We start from the raw sequence: 17,286 nt of genomic DNA, 5'->3' as shown, positions 1-17,286 counted from the left end.
TTATTATTATTATTTTTTTCTTTGAGACAGAGTCTTGCTCTGTCACCAGGCTGGAGTGCAGTGGCGTGATCTCGGCTCACTGCAACCTCCGCCTCCTGGGTTCAAGCCATTCTCCTGCCTCAGTCTCCTGAGTAGCTGGGACTACAGGCGTGTGCCACCACGCTGGGCTAATTTTTGTATTTTTAGTAGAGATGGGGTGTCACCATCTTGGCCAGGATGGTCTCGATCCCTTGACCTTGTGATCCGCCCTCCTTGGCCTCCCAAAGTGTTGGGATTACAGACGTGAGACACCACGCCTGGCAGAGTTGCTTATTTTTTTAAGAAATTTGACTCTGAAGGACAGTAGAGATAAGGAACTGGCTGAATCTAGGGAATATTTTTTTCTTCTTTTTCTTAACTAAATGGGATTGCTCCTGGAAAAGAGTTCCTGCTTTTGTGTCTTTTTTTTTTTTTTTTTTTTTTTTTTGAGATGGAGTTTTGCTCTTGTCGCCCAGGCTGGAGTGCAATGGCGCAATCTCGGCTCACTGCAACCTCCACTTCCCGAGTTCAAGTGATTCTCCTGCCTCAGCCTCCCCAGTAGCTGGGATTACAGGCATGCACCACCACACCCAGCTAATTTTGTATTTTTGGTAGAGACGGGGTTTCTCCATGTTGGTCAGACTGGTTTCAAACTCACAACCTCAGGTGATCCGCCCACCTCGGCCTCCCAAAGTGTTGGGATTACAGACGTGAGCCACCGCACCCAGCCTGGTTTTGTATCTTTTGAAGTATATGGAATGATTTGGGATTATTCTTGATGTTATGGCACTATTTGTATAATCTAAGAAATTTTTAAAAAGCATTTATTTGTGGCTTGAATTTTAAATTGAATTTTTAAAAAATTTATTGAGGAAAATTTGAAATATACTCATAGAGAAACTAATGTCTTTGATATATAGCCCCAAGTTTTAACAGTTAATGTTTTTGTCAGTCTTTTTCACCTTGATCTATTTTAATGCAATTCCAGATACCTCGTCATTTCACCTGTAAGTGCCTAAGTAAAGATCATGATTTTACATGATTTTCTTTGCATGATTTTTGCAGATTTTCTAAGTAGTTCCACTTTAGGATCCAAAAGTAAAACCGAATTATTAATGTTACAGAAGAATTACCTACCTAGCAGTGGATTTATCAAAGCATTCCTGTCTGGGAAGACCTGGGCTTCCCAGACAGGACTGAGGATCATCACACGGTGTTCAGCACATACCACCAGGGGCAGGTGCACCCTGGCTTCTGAAGTAGCACCTGAGAATCCCCTGTGTCTAGTACCTGCTTCATGAATAACATTCCATAGGCTTCGGAAAGACTGTGGTTTAGGCTCTAATTTATTCAACTTGAATAATTTCTCCTTGAAATACTGAGAATAGCTTCTCTTTTGCTGTACAAATTCCGATTATCCCATAACACAGACTCCTCAGTTGGACTTATCTCTCTTCTTTATTCAGTCAGGACAGGCATTGTCACATCTTTTCTGCTGGGGATGAGGGTGAAAGAGGCTTAGGGTTCAGAGGAACCTCCCTGGCCTCCTCTAGGAAAATCTCCCAATGACTTTCCAAACCTGACTGAGTTTGAGAACTTCCCTCAGCAGATAGAGGCACCGGAAGGAGCATTGGGGCAGCCCAGCCTCACACATCTGCTTCCTTGGGGATTATGTTATGACTTGTAACGCTGTGGGAGGGGTACTGTCACTCTGTTGACAGTAATAAGTTGCAAAATCTTCAGGCTGCAGGCTGCGGATGGTGAGAGTGTAGTCTGCCCCAGATCCACTGTCACTGAACCGAGAGGGAATCCCACTTTGCAGACTGGATGCAGCATAGATCAGGAGCTTAGGAGTTTTCCCTGGTTTCTGCTGATACCAATTTAAATTATTGCTAATGCCCTGACTCGCCCGGCAAGTGATGGTGACTCTGTCTCCTACAGATGCAGACAGGGAGGATGGAGACTGGGTCATCTGGATGTCACATCTGGCACCTGAAGTTGGAAACATAAAAACAAATATTGTCGCAATTAATCATGTTATCAGAGGACTTCCCTGAAGTTCCAGACAGTACTGAGCACACTGACCGAGTATAATCCTAGTGTTCTCCTTCCTTACCTGGCAGCCAGAGCACCAGGAGCCCCAGGAGCTGAGTGGGGGCCCTCATGTCTGTGCTGTGTCCTGACTGGGGCTGACTCCTGCACCGGGTGTGACCAGCCTATAAAAAGTCTTCAGGGCAGGGGGCTGTGCTCTAGGAACAGGCAAATCAGCAGGGGATGGGGCAGGCTGAGCACAGCTGCAGGGCTGGCTCATCTCAGTAACTCAGCACAGGGGCGCAGTATCCCCAGAGTCCCAGGTCAAACCAGGGCAGCACAGATTTACCTTGAAAGAATGCATTTCTCATTGGTGGCCATATGGTTACAGAACATATGTTTGGAGTGAATTTTCAAAATTTTAAATCAACCTAAGACTAGATTAAATAATATATTTATACTTGTATTAGGAGTGTATAGGAAAGCATCATTTTTGGCAGAAAATTTACAATAAAGTTGTAGAATGTGGGGCTGTCAGAAATTTCAGTTAGTCTCAAAGGAATTTGATGAGTGTAAAAGTATTTAGTGCTATAATAACAATGTCAGTGTGAAATTGCTTCTTGTTTGAAATGAATATAAAAAGAATTTATCAGAAGCATCTTTAATAAATTCAATAGAATTTACTAACAAACTTAAGACATTGTCCCTAGGAGTAAAAGGAAAAACAATTCTCTGAAGATGCACAAAGATGATAACTGTGTCACGCATAGATCTGCCATTATCCAGAGCTATGGGTCTCTTTAAGACCCAGGGGCTAAATGGGCTGCACCTTATTCTTGGTGTGATGATCCCCATATTCTATCCCCTTTCCTGCCTTTGGTATAATTTCTTATGGTTCTCCAGCATGGAGAGCTGACTAGTAATACCAGGTCTCATTATTTCAACTAAAATCTCTGTTTCACTCGCTGACTATAGGAGCCTGGATTAAAATCAACTTGAAGCCCTGTATCAATCTAGGCCCAAATAGTCAATTGTTTCAAAGTAGGATGACAAAGGCCACATCCCCTGAGTAATGCTCTGAGCTGCGCTCCCCACCAGCCTGTTCCTGGGGTCTCAGGAGCATCTGCCCTAGAGTCTGGCTTTCTGGAGAGCAGGTGAGGGGGAAAAGCCAGGTCAGTGAGCCTCTCTCCTTAGCGAGGGCAGCTGCTGCACAAGGCATGTTCTTGCCATGCACCAGGGCATCATCCTGACCCAGATGCCAGCCACCCTGTCTCACATGCATTTAGAGAGAATCTCCATCCTCTGCCAAGACACTGCCCATGTAGATGAAAAAGTGTTTTGCATCCAAACATATCTTAAGCACTGATTTGAACCTCAATACTTCACACAGATGCCTTTGCCCAGGGCGTGTCGGCCTGGCTCAACAGCAGGGGAAGTGGAGCCAATTACATCAGTGTCAGTGGACTGAGAAATACTCCAGGGAGTAGTTCTCATGCACGACTACGCATGGCCAGACCAAGGTAGTGCAGCCTATGCACAAACCTCCTCCTGCTTTTCCAGAGGACTGGATTTCTGGGAAATGGCTACCAAACAGGCTGCCAGGATCCATATATCCAGATTCAGAGAGATACATCTCTGGATTCAAATGCACTTTTTCTTTGTGCATAATTTTAGCAGTCATTGTTACTATGCCTTGGGGATTCTAGACATTATACTTCAGCTGACTCTCTATGGCCCTTTCTCCCCTTCACTGCTCTATCTGAACCTGGGGAAGCAGCTCAGGCTGCAAATGAGGCAGACCTCATGGCCTGGAATTAGCATCCCCTAGGACGGTTGTCAATCAGTGATGACAAGGGAGGTGTACACATCCCCCAGCTCCCTCACCTCTCAGGTGGAATAACAGAGGCATTTTTCCTGTGTTTCTATGTGGGCTTGAGCGCTCGTCATCCTCAGAGGTGGCTCCTTCTGAGGCACTTTTCACTTTCCCTTTCCCTCCTCCCCTCCCTTGCTCACTTGCTTGTTTCCCGCACTTTGTAAATATACTGCCTGCATGCGAATCTTTGGCATCCTTCTCACTGAGGGGACCCAACCTAATGCATTGGAAAAATCCTCATTCTTGGAGGGCATCGTTGGTTTGAATTATTGCCACTTCTCATGTTTTAATGCCTAGGGAAATTCCAAAAATTTAGGAAATCTTTAAATTCCCTTTGCCAATCTTTCTTAGATTTGATTTTAGCAGAGATTCGTTTTCTCTAGGTCACAAAATCACAGAAGCCTTCCACAAATGGCTACACAATATAGAGTCCACATAGAGCAGAGGCTCAGAATCTCCCAGGATTTGACATCCACACATCAGACAGTCCTAGAGTCTCATGTTTTTTCTAGGTCGATCGCCTCATAAATCTGCCTTGTGATATTTTTATTCTACCTTAGGGGAAGGCCATTGTGTGGATGATGAGAGTTGTTTGTGGAATGAATAATACACCCACTAAAGACATCATTGTCCTAATATCTGGAATCTATGATCATTACTTATGAACAAGTCAAAAATAACTTGGCAGACATGGTTGAGAATTTTGAGGTCAGGAGAATATCCTGAATTATCTGGGTGAGACCATCATAATCACAAGGGTCCTTACAATAGGGAGGGAGGAAGGTAACAGCCAGAGAGGACCTGGGACAATGGACAGGGAAACTGGAGTGATGGAGGAAGGGGCCATGCTGCTAGGAATGTGGGAACATCAGAAAGATGGAATGCTCGACATTGGATTCTCTCTCTTGAAGCCTAGAATGAATAGAGCCCTATTACTCCTTGATTTTACTTCATTGAGACTTCTGACCTCCAGAAATGTAAGATAATACACTTGTGTGATGTGGAGCAGTAAAGTTGTGGTAATTTGTTACAGCAGCAACAGGAAACCAATGCAAGGGGAAGGGGTGTGTTTTACTTCCCTAGTGTATCACTGTCCTCTGTTCTCCCAAGTAGTTCTGTGTTTTTGTGTTTGCTGTCAATTTCAACAAGAGACAGAAAACATTTTTCTATGAGGAGAGCTAGTACCACAATTCTTCTTACGTAGAAAGTGTCTTGAGTAATTCTCTGGGTTAGGTCTTGTACAATCTTGGTATCTGAGAGCCTGGAGGTCATCTCTCACAGCACATGAGAAGAGGAAGGGGATGCGGGTTTGCTGTTTTAACATTCATAGGGCAAATTGGATGTACAAGACCCATTCTTTTTATTATTATTATTATTGTTAAGTTCTAGGTTACATGTGCACAACATGCAGGTTTGTTACATATGTATACATGTGCCATGTTGGTGCGCTGCACCCATTAACTCGTCATTTACATTAGGTATATCTCCTAATGCTATCCCTCCCCCCTCCCCACACCCCACAACAGTCCCCGGTGTGTGATATTCCCCTTCCTGTGTCCAAGTGTTCTCATTGTTCAATTCCCACCTATGAGTGAGAACATGCAGTGATTGGTTTTTTGTCCTTGCGATAGTTTGCTGAGAATGATGGTTTCCAGCTTCATCCATGTCCCTACAAAGGACATGAACTCATCCTTTTTCATGGCTGCAAGCGAGGACTGAGTCAGAGAGATGGGGATGGCAGAGGAGACAAAATGTGGTCAGGGCCGTGTAAGATGTGACCCTGCTGCCATATCTGAAAGAAAGGCTGTTGGTGTTTGTAAAGGCTTTGGGCAAATTGTGCTTTGTAGACAAAACTGTAGAAGGGTCTGGGTTTAAGCTTAGTGTCAGCGTGATGAGGACTAGAGGTCGTAGTGAGCTTGTGTTAAGAAATCCACCCTGCACTTCTGGCTTTGTCTCTTTTCTGGTTTTATAGGTGGTGGGTCCCTCTATGGAATGAACGTGGCTCTGTGGAAGGAACATAAGTTAAGGTCAGACAGACCTAGATTCCAATTTCAGCTTCGACAACTGCTGACCAAGTGACTTTTATGCAAATCAGCCATGTGCTGTCATGAACAGTTTCCTCATGTGTGAAATGGGGCACTGAGGATGTGAAGGGGTGTCCTGAGGGTTCCGCCAGCTGATGCACCATGAAGTGTACATCCATGTATAGACAGACACACACACATACATGAGAAGAGTATCTAGTGCCTCTTTTATGCATTCTTGAGTAACTCAGAATGTTATGTGAGATATTAACAGTCATATGTCATTTTCAACTAAAATTATCAGTATTTATCTTATAACTAACAGATGCTTCTCTGTACACTGTAGGTTTCATGTACATTTCTTCAATCACAAAATTTTTCACCAATCTATTTACGTCTAGTATCAGAAAGTTAAGCAAGGAGATTGCAAACCAACACAACACCTTTAGTCTGGATTTTCCTGGAGCCCATTTGTGTTAGTGTCCTCGGGCTACTGTAACAAGTTCTCAAAAATGTGGTAGCTTCAAACAACAGGAATGGAATCTCTCATAGTTCAGAAGTCCAGATCAGTTTCACTGGGCTAAGATCTTGGAGTCATCAGTTCTGGCTCCTTCTGAAGCTCTAGGGAGCAGTCTGATTTAGCTCTTCCAGCTTCTGGTGGCTTCTCTCTCCCGGGATGTGGACACATCACTGCAATCTCTGTCTCTGTGTTCACACTGCCTTCTCCACTTCAGTCTATGCTAAATGTCTCTCTACCTCTTGTTTTTTTTAGGACACTTGAGTTTGCATTTAAGTCCCAGTTGATTAATCTAAGACCATCTCCCTGTTTCAAGCTCCTTAATTTACACCTGCAAAAGCTGTTTTCCCAAATGAGATACATGCATAGTCTTCATGGAATGAAACCTCACTATTTGGGGATGATACTCAGTACTACACCATTACATAACCAGGTCTCAGTGTTAGTCCTGTACATACATCACAATCTCTCTCTCTCTCTCTCTCTCTCTCTCTCTCTCTCTCTCTCTATGTCCACACACCCTGGCTTCCTCCTTTTCTCAATGTCATAAATCTCTTCAATTCCTTAAGTGTATCCAGTGATACCTATAAACAAATAAGTATCTGAGAAAAGTCTCAATCAGTTTAGAAATTTACTTGGTCAAAGTTAAAGAAATATCAGTGAAACAGCCTCAGGAGGTCTTGAGAACGTGTGTCAAAGGTCGTCGGGCTACAGGTTGGTTTTACACGTTTTAGGGAGACATAAGATATCAATCAATACGTGTAAGCTGTACATTGCTTTGACATGAAAAGGCAGGACAGCCCGAAGGAGGGGGGATGTTGGGGACTTCCAGGTTATAGGTGGATTCAAAGATTTCATAGGTGGTTGAAAGAGTTTATCTAATGACCTGTAATCAACACAAGGGAGTTTCTGGGTTTAGAAAAAGGGTTTTGGAGCCAAGGTTGCATCATGCAGATGGAGCCTCCAGGTAGCAGGCTTCAGAGAGAATAGATTGTAATTGTTTCTTAGTAGACTTAAAAGGTGCCAAACTCTTAGTTAAATCTCTCTGGGTCAGGAAAGAGACTTAAAAAGGAGTCTCTACAGAATGTAGATTTTTCCCACAAGAACCAGCTTTGCAGAGGCATTTTTCAATACATTAAATAACAATATCTTGGGGAAAATACTTTGATTTCTCTTAGGACGTGGTATCTGTCACATTGGTATCTTATTGCTATAAAGAGTTTTCTTTGTCAGTCTCAAGGTCTCTGTCTTCATATTAAAAGCTGGTCAGTTGTGCCTGAATTTTAAAGGGAAGAGGGTAAGTTAAGGCATATCCAATCATCCGTTCCGATCATGGGCTGCATTGTATTTCAGGTTGATTTTGGTGTGTGCTTGGCTGAGAGGAGGAGTTCATTCAGTTGGTTAGGGAGCTTAGAGTTTCATTTTTGGTTTACACACCTATGTCCAGGTAAGAGGGCCCCACACAGGAGGGCTTGCTCAGAACCTGGCTTGCAGGGCTGCTTACAGACCTTCTATGTCTCCTGTTGTCATGCACAAGGAAGGACACAGCCAATGACAACCCTCAGCCATCCGGGGAGAAGCTGTGTCTGCAGAGGACGGTCATGAGCTGTGAGTCTAGAGACCTGTGATTGTCTTCAGGGGCCTGTGGTCCTCGGCTTTCGTAGGAGTTGTGGGGGCACTGGCTCAAATAGCATCCACCAGGATTCTAATCAGAATATCTCATTCACAGAAGGCAGTGGGTGATATGACAGCACAGAGGGACTCTGTGGGTCCAGCTGCATGGAGCACTCTGGGAGAGTCACTGGCACCCGTGCTAGACAGAGCTTCATTCAAGTTCTGGAGCACACGGATTTAGATCTCTTTACATCATTTTGAAAGACCATTTATCATTCTGAAGGAAACCCCTGTAATTAACTAAGGTAACATCTTTAATAGGTAGAAAGAAAAAACTGATTATTTTATTGCCAAGATGATTACAAGAAAAGAAAGAAACAAAAATAGCACGAAGGAAAGAGCAACACTAGACTGAGGGCTTTGGGTAAGAGGTTGAGACTTAGTAGTGAATGCCCTGGGCCATCTTCTGTCAAAAGGGAGGGACAATCAGCAAAGGGAAATATGCAGTAGAGGCAAAATCTTGGTTAGTAAAAGAATCCTAAGAGAAAACAAGAAGTCTCCTTCCTGAGCATCATGTTGGTGTCGGGAAGATGCACATAATCCCCCCATTGCATGTCTTACAGTTTTCAGCAATTAGGGCTCAGCACGAATTTAGAAGACACCATTCACTTCACAGCAGATGGGGACACAGTCAAGGCAGCGGTGAGAGGCAAGGCTGGGCTTTCAGTCTCAGAGCACAGAGCAGGTTCCCCACTACTCCGCACCCTTGTGTCTCCTCCCAGATGTTCCACCTCATTCTTGGCTTAAGGGCTCCAAGTTGTTAATGGGACAGTAGCCCTCTTCCTTTCCCAGGGTTTCTAAGAATTTGGCTCTCTTTTGTGTATTGCGGGGTTTGTTTGCCATCTAGAGGCAGGTTTTTGGCATAGCAACTTATAGGCTTTTTCTACTTGTGATAGCGAAAATAAATACATAAATAAATTCATCATAAGTAATAAATTGACTTAATGCATTGAATCTGTAAAAAAAAAAAAAGGTCAGTTTGAGAGCTTAAAAGGAGCCTGATGAGGTTAAAAAGACAAATTACCTTTAGTAAAGGGCAGTTGGAGCAATAGATGATTCTTTCTTTAATCAATGACATTTTAGGAGTAATTATCAAATGGTAAATAAAACTTGAAATAAGCTGATACACTATAATTTTATATGAAAAAAATATTTCCAAGAACCATACAAATACATTTTCAGATTAAAACAAACAAAAATGTGGGTTTATCATCAGATCCGCTAAATGGAAGATTTCTCAAATGTGTGCTTGGAGCAAAAATAACACTTATCCCTATTTGAAAGTTCAAGATTTTTGAGCTTTCGAAGAAAACAGCTTTCCCTTCACTCTGTTCCACTCACACTTCTGAGGATGGCCATGGGGCAAAAAGCCGCGGCGGGCATAAACCCGAGGCGGCGGGGGGGGCAAAAAGCCGCGGCGGGGAAAAAGCCGTGGTGGCAGGGGGCAAACAGCCGCGGCGCTGGTGGGGCAAAAAGCCGAGACGCGCAAAAAGCTGCGGTGGCGGAGGCAAAAAGCAGTGGGAGCAAAAAACCATATAACGTCGCGGCGGCGGGGGGCAAATAGCCGCGGCGGCGGGGGCAAAAAGGTGCAAAAAGCAGTGGTGGCGCGGGCAAAAAGCCACGGCGGCGGGGGCACAAAGACGCAAAAAGCCGCGGCGGCGGGGGGGGGGGGGGAGGGGTGGGGGAGGGGCGACAAAAAGCCGCGTCCGCAGGGGGGAAAAATCCGGGGGGGCAGGGGGGCAAAAAGTCGCGGCGGCGGGGGGCAAAAAGCTGTGGCAGCGAGGAGGCAAAAGCCGTGGGGGGCGAAAAGCCACGGCGGCGAGGGGGGCAAAAAGCCGCGGCGACAAAAAACCACGGCGGCGGCGGGGATGCAAAAAGCCGCGGCGGCGGGGCAAAAAGCCGGGTCGGGCAAAAAGCCGCGGAGGCAAAAAGTCGCGGCGGCAGGGGACAAAAAGCCGCGGCGGCAGGGGGACAAAAAGTCGCAGCGACGGGGGTGCAAAAAGCCGCGACGGGCAAATAACCGCGGCACCGGGGCGGCAAAAAGCCACGGCGGCGGGGGTGAAAAAGTCGCGGCGGCGGGGGAGCAAAAAGCCGGGTCGGGCAAAAAGCCGCGGCGGCGTAGGATAAAAAGCCTCGGCTGGCAAAAAGCCGCGGCGACAAAAAGCCGCGGCGGTGGGGGGAAAGAGCCGCGGCGGGCAAAAAGCCACGGCGGCGGGGATGCAAAAAGCAGCGGAGGCAAAAAGCCGCGGCGGGCAGAAAGCCGTGGGGGCGGGGGGCAGAAAGCCGAGGCGGGCAGAAAGCCGGGGCGGGGAAAAAGCCGCGGCGGAAAAGGGGCAAAAAGCCGCGGCGACGGGGATGCAAAAAGCCGCGACGGGCAAATAACCGCGGCACCGCGGCGGGTGGGGGGCAAAAAGCCGGGGCGGGCAAAAAGCGGCAGCGGTGGGAGGAGCAAAAAGCTGCGTCAAGCAAAAAGCCGCGGCGGCAGGGGGTAAAAAGCCGCGGCGGGCAAAAAGCCGCGGTGGCGGGGGGGGAGCAAAAAGCCGCGGTGGCGGGGGGGGGGGGGGCAAAAAGCCGCGGTGGCGGGGGGAGGGCAAAAAGCCGCGGCGGCGGGGGGAGGCAAAAAGCTGCGGTGGCGGGGGGGCAAAAAGCCGTGACCGGCAAAAAGCCGTGGTGGCGGGGAACAAAAAGCCGCGGCGGCGGGGGTGGGCAAAAAGCCGGGGCGGGCAAAACCCCGAGGCGCCGTGGGGGCAAAAAGCCGGGGGCGGGCAAAAAGCCGGGGCGGGCAAAAACCCGCGGCGGCGGTGGGGCAAAAAGCTGGAGCGGGTAAAAAGCCGCGGCAACAAAAAGCCGCGGCGGCGGGGGCGCAAAAGCCGCGGCGGACAAAAAGCTGCGGCGGCGGGGTGCAAAAAGCCGCGGTGGGCATAAACCCGAGGCGGCGGGGGGGGAGGGGGGGTGCAAAAAACCGCCGTGGGGAAAAAGCCGCGGCGGCGGGGGGCAAAAGCCCGCGGCGGGCAAAAAGCCGCGGCGGCGAGGGGGGTCACAACAAAGCCGCGGCGGGCAAAAAGCCGAGGCGGGGTGGGGGCAAAAAGCCGAGGCGGGGTGGGGGCAGAAAGCCGCGGCGGCAGTGGGGCAAAAAGCCACGGCGGCGGGGGGTAAAAAGCCGCGGCGGGCAAAAAGCCCAGGCGGTCAAAAAGCCGAGGCGGGGTGGGGGGTGGGGGGGGGAAGCCGCGGCGGGGGGCGAAAAGCCACGGCGGTGGGGGGCAAAATAGTGGAGATGGGGTAGAAGGACGGCACAGTTTGGTATTGCTGGAGTGTGATGTGATAGGAAATGTGCAGCCAAAGAGAAAAAAAGATGTAAGTAAGCTTGACTCATTGCAGCTAAGAACCCAGATGTTATCTTGAGGGTATTAACTAATAAGCAGTTTAAATCAGAATGGCATATTCTGATTTGTTTTTTGTATGTTCACATTTGGCAGGCATAGATACTGTTTGAAGAGAGAAAAGACAGTAGATAGAGGTAACAAACTTAAATATGTGCGAAGTCTAGAAACAAGAGACCGGGGGATAAGGACCTTTCAAAATAAAATGCAAGATTTGAAAACTGATTGGCTGGGGCATGAGGAAAAGGCAGGTCTTTAAGGTCAATCCCTGTTTTGCTTTGTTAGGGGTTGGTTTTATCACATATTGTAGAACATGTCATTTCAGTTTTGAACATCTTGAGTTAAATTGTCCTAACATATCTTATGAATTTGATTTTCTTCCCTGGGAAGCTAATATTTCAAAAACTGAAAGAGTATATAGATTTCCAACTTGTATCCAATTTATAAAACTATCTCTGGGCTGCTGATTTCAGGAGGAGGCTCATGAATATTCTCTTTGCAGAGAATATATCAGGAGTTAACAACAGCTTCAATATTTGTGGACGACCAGTTAACTAAGCCACCTCTTAGTGTATTTAGATGGGAAATCTTAGCTGAAGATATTCAATAATGAACCAACAGTGACTAAAAAATTCAACATTTAAGTATATTTCATTGTAATTAATTTGAATTGAAGTAGCAGCTAGTATTTACTACATTGAACAATGCAAATAAGAGGAAAAAATTAATAACCATCTCTAATACCACATGCCAAAATCCTCATCAATTTATTCTAGCTAAAGGAGTTGATCAGAAGCAGCAGTTGAAAGCACCAACTAAACCAGCTGGGGTTGGTTCACTGTCATTCTCTCAGAACCATCTCTTCTCTGAACAAAACAAGTACAGGAGTTCATTGTGAATCTGCATTCTCCTTGCCTATTTTAAGGTTTTGATGTTGACGCAAATTTGTGAAATCCCTCCTGTGGTGTGATATTTCGTTTTCCTTGCTTTGTGTTAGGACAAGAATGCTTCAGCTCTTAATTTAAAATTATGTTTCTCCCTCCTAGGTTGAGTGAACTTAGAATGCATTCTCTGACATATCCAAGATTTTGTTAATATGAATTTCGGGAAAAAAGCATACTTAATTAGCTAAGACGTCTTATTCTAAGCTTGACCCTATGTTCGACATCTTTTGAATTTCTGGTTGCGTGGGCTGCTCTCTGACACTGGTTAGTGACCTGGAAGCTCTATTAATGTTAGGGGAGGTGGTGTATGAGCATTAGAGGTATCCTTGCAAGGAAAGACTTGTCTTATCTCAATACGTCTTTTTTTTTGCACACAAGAAAGTCAATGTCTGAGTCTTCTAAAATCTTCCTATTTCCAAATTGCAGATTATGATTGATTCCTAAACAAAGACCTAATTTTTGACTCAGAGACGTGGCAAGCTAGTGAATCACCGTTATAATTTAACAATCTTCAAGATAAAATTATCTCTGATATTTAGATTTTGCCCAATTATTAAGATATTTGGGTGTTCCGTTAAGAATGGAAAACTCTAGTCTCTTGAGCAGAGACTATAAAGGCCTCAGATGATCATTTTTAATTTTATGCTCTTTTCTTTAACACCTTCAACACAGTTGGAAGCAGCCGATATTCCGCAGAGTTGTTGTGTTTTTTAAACCAAATGCATGGTTCAGTGGTAGAAAACTGGGCTGATCCAAGCTGTTTTCAGTAAACACTTCATTTCAGGTGACCCATTTCATATTAAATAATCTCTAGATCCTGTCTTCGAAACTAACTAGATCAGATAAACTACCCTGGATTTTCTCTTTTTAGGGTCTGAGAGCTGCAGTCACTTTTGTGAAAATGATTACAATGACAAGATAGAGTTGTAGATGGGGAAAATGTTTTGACTAATTTAAGCACAGTGGTATTTCATATGAGAATTTAAGTTACACACATTTGAAAATTATAATGGAGTCTCTTGGCTGAGCTTTAAAAAGAAATAGCGTTTAGGCTAAAAAGGGAACTGCTACCTCTCCTAAAATCAGAAAGATGTTACAGTAATTCTCCATTCTCTAGAATTATCAAGAAGCACCTTTGTGATGATTTACTTTTGCTCTTGCGAGTGTGAGCCCGTGTAGTCGTGGAACCATCAATTAGAATGGTGGCTTTCTGATCCCAAAGTCACTCGTTCTGAAAACAATATTTTCCATAAATTTGAAAGTGAGAAGTTTTGATCTTGCCATTCCCAAGTAACTCTCTTAATAAGAGGCATCAGCATGCTTCAGTGACAGCTGTCACCTTCCATTGCTGAGAGTCATCTTTGAGTTCTCTATTTCACTCCCTACACTCCAATTTAGCTGCAGTTCTCTTGGCCAGTCCTATGAAATACATCCATGGCCTAACGACTTCTCACCACTACTACCACTCATGCTGACAGCATTCTCACCTAAGTCACTACCTTTTTTCGCTGGATTAGAGTAGCCTCCCAATTTATTTGCTCACATAACCTATTTATTCTACACAGTGCACCAGATACACCCCTTTGAAATGCAAACACAATCATATTATTCTCTGGTGAAATTATCTCATATATTCCTATCGCATTTAAAATTAATTCAGAATCATCCCATGATTATCAAAACCCTACATGCTCTTCCACAACATGGTTTACTTCCAAGATATCTCTTCAACATTTTTTTCACTGTACTGAATTGGTGACTAATAGTCATATTTTTGTTTTTGCTCAAAAAGTCTTGACTTGTAAATTTTTCAGTTTCTCCTTTATCCACAGGTAACTCTTTCCTGATAAGGCGAATTGCTTGCTTCCTTGAATTCTGCTCTCAAAGATACCCTTCATTTTCTACCTAATATTAATAACTTTAATCATTCATTATTCCATTACTATGCTCTATAGTGTATACAATTTCTGTTCTTTGTCATGTTATTAACTAAATTATTTATTGGGTCCAGTAACGTATTCCATAAATATTGTACACATAAAAATTGTGTTATTTTTATTCCTGTATGCTCAGCTGCCCAATAACAGTCTGAGGATTAACATATTTGTTAAATGCACAAATACATTCTTTCACAAATATTAGTTTAATAATTTTATATTAAACTCCCTCTATACTTACAATATGAATTAGATAATTCAGAATAAACATTCCATTGGAAAAAGCTACACAATTTGTTATAAAACATCCTTAAAAGCATCAGAAAATTAATACAGCAATGAAGAATTACAGGACCAAATTAAGAATGGTATGAAAGCCTGTTTGTGACGCTTATGTTTGGGTTATCTCTTTATTTGAGTGACTATAAATCTCAAAAGAGAACTAAAGGGAGAAATAACCGTATCTACTAACATGCTAAGGGTACTTAAACATCTCTTAGTAATTGAGAAAATTGAAAGAAAAGAAAAAAGAGAAAGGGAGAAAGAGAGACAGCGAAAGGGATAATGAAGGAGAGAAAGAAGAAGAGAAAGGAAGAGGAAGAAAAGTAAAAAGGAGGAGGAGGGGGAAGGAAGAAGGAAGAAAGGTGAAAAGAAAGAATGGTAAACTTTTTAACAACATAATTTATCCTTCTAGAATATGAATGTTGGTCTATTTGATGATGTCCCACAGATTCATTAGTCTCTGCTCATTGTTTATTTTTTATTCTTTCTGTTTCTCAGAGTATTTTCCATTTTCTTCTCTTCAAGTTCATGGCTTCCTCTGTGTGTGCAAATATACTCTTAAATCCCTCTGGTGATTTTTAAATTTTTATCATTGTAGTTTTCCACTCCAGAATTTGTTATCTCTTTGCTGATATTCCTACTTTTTAATATTTTTTCTGATTCCTTTATTTCTTTGTTTATGTTTTCCTTTTGACATTTGAGTATAATGAAGACAGTTGTTTTAAAGTCTTTGTCTGGTAAGTTTGATGTCTGGGTTTCTTTAGGGATATTTTCTGTCACTTTATTTTGTTCCTTTGAATGAGCCACACTTTCCCATTCTTTGTATGCCTTGTAACGTTTTTTGAAAACTGGACATTCTAATAATTATAATTACTATGTGGTTACTCTGTAAATCAGACCTCCCCCTACAAACACAGTGATGTTTTGTGGTTTTAAATTTTCTTTACTTATTATATTGTTAAGGATTTTTTTTTTTAGTGAAATTTTCCAAAGTGATTTACAAAACTGTTTGGTTTATAAGGTGTGGTCACCGAAGTCTTTTTGTTTCCTTAACAAATGTTAAGCTAATGTTTTGACAGTGATTTTCTGGTATGTCAGGAGCCAATCAAACAGGCAAATACAAGAAAAACAAAAAGAAAAGCAAGTAATCATTGTCCAGCAAAATATGTCTGTAGGCCATGCAGACTGGCTTTGTGCTGGGTTCTTTAAAGCCGGCACAAAGTGTGTGTTCACTCTTGCACTGAGTGAAGTTCAAGTTCACTCTTGCACAGAGCTTGCACTGAGGGGAGGGATCGGCCAAGGTAAAAGTGTAGGGTCTTCTTATGACATTTGTCAGCATGTGGCTTAACCTATGAATACGTGTGACTTTGTAGACTCTCCCATGTACGTGAATGAGGCATGCGCCACCACGCCCAGCTAATTTTTTCGTGTTTTTAGTAGAGACGAGGTTTCTCCATGTTGATCAGGCTGGTCTCAAACTCCCGACCTCAGGTGATCCGCCCGCCTCGGCCTCCCAAAGTGCTGGGATTACAGGCGTGAGCCACCACGCCCAGCAGATTTATTTATTTTTTAATCTTTCTTTTTTTTAGGCAGAGTCTTACTCTGTCACCCAGGCTGGAGTGCAGTGACACGATCTTGGCTCACTACAACCTATGCCTCCCCGGTTCAAGTAATCCTCCCACCTTAGCCTCCTGAGTAGCTGGGATTACAGGCGCCTGCCACCACACTCAGCTAATTTTTGTGTTTTTAGTAGAGACAGGGTTTCACCATGTTGTCCAGGATGGTCTTGAACTCCTGGCCTCAAGAGACCCACCCGCCTCAGGCTCCCACAGCGCTGGGATTACAGGCATGAGCCGCCATATCTGGCCTATTTATTTTTTAATTTTTCAAATGAGAAGGTTGGGTTAGGTAATTTTTAAAAATCGCTTCAAGTTTCTTAACTCCACAATTATTTTCCTGAGACTCTTGCAAGCAACTGATCTTTATAGGTCATGCCTCAAATTCCCAATTGATGTCATCTGGGCAAATCAGTCCAATGACAGCCACAAGTGGTCAGAAAGCTTTCTTAGCAGCCCTCTTGGTCACTAGGCACACTACCTAGGAGTCAACCTGTGACAAGAGGCTGCTTCTTAAACTTACAAAAGATAGGATCTTCCAGGATGTGCTGCTCTGATGTTTTTGAAGGGCATAGAGAAACACACGGGCAATGTTTGCAGAGGCAACAGACTAAATAAAGCACATCTATAGTTGTATTGGCTTTGTGTGGGTTGTATGGTAAACAGGTAGTCACCCTGCTTAATGTGGGTATCCCATTTTCCATAAATGTCTATTTCACCACCCCAAAAAGCCCTCTTATCATGAAATTAATCATCTGATGCACTTCAAGTACCAGTCACAAAAATGATGAACTCAGGCAGAATTCCACTGCTAGACAAGCCCAGACAAAAACTGTTACTGTTAGCCAAGGAAATTTGCACACAATTTTGATAAGTGGCACTAAAGCCACATAAGACAGGAAATGGGTTAGAGGACATCAATGTATTGAGACAGAAAGTGAAAGGGTGGGCAGGATTTGCGAGGTTACCAGTTTGAATATGGCCATTCCT

At 44.0% G+C, this 17,286-nt stretch overlaps 1 pseudogene; it reads right to left on the bottom strand.

The window, feature by feature from the left end:
* Positions 1 to 1,457: 1,457 nt before the first annotated feature.
* On the bottom strand, positions 1,458 to 2,198 carry IGKV1OR1-1 (immunoglobulin kappa variable 1/OR1-1 (pseudogene); annotated as a pseudogene).
* Between the last annotated feature and the right edge of the window lie 15,088 nt (positions 2,199 to 17,286).

Source organism: Homo sapiens, chromosome 1 (assembly GCF_000001405.40).
Source record: "Homo sapiens chromosome 1, GRCh38.p14 Primary Assembly".
Classification (NCBI taxonomy): Eukaryota; Metazoa; Chordata; class Mammalia; order Primates; family Hominidae; genus Homo; species Homo sapiens.
Note: the sequence above shows the minus strand (reverse complement) of the source record. Positions and strands in the feature narration are given on the sequence as shown.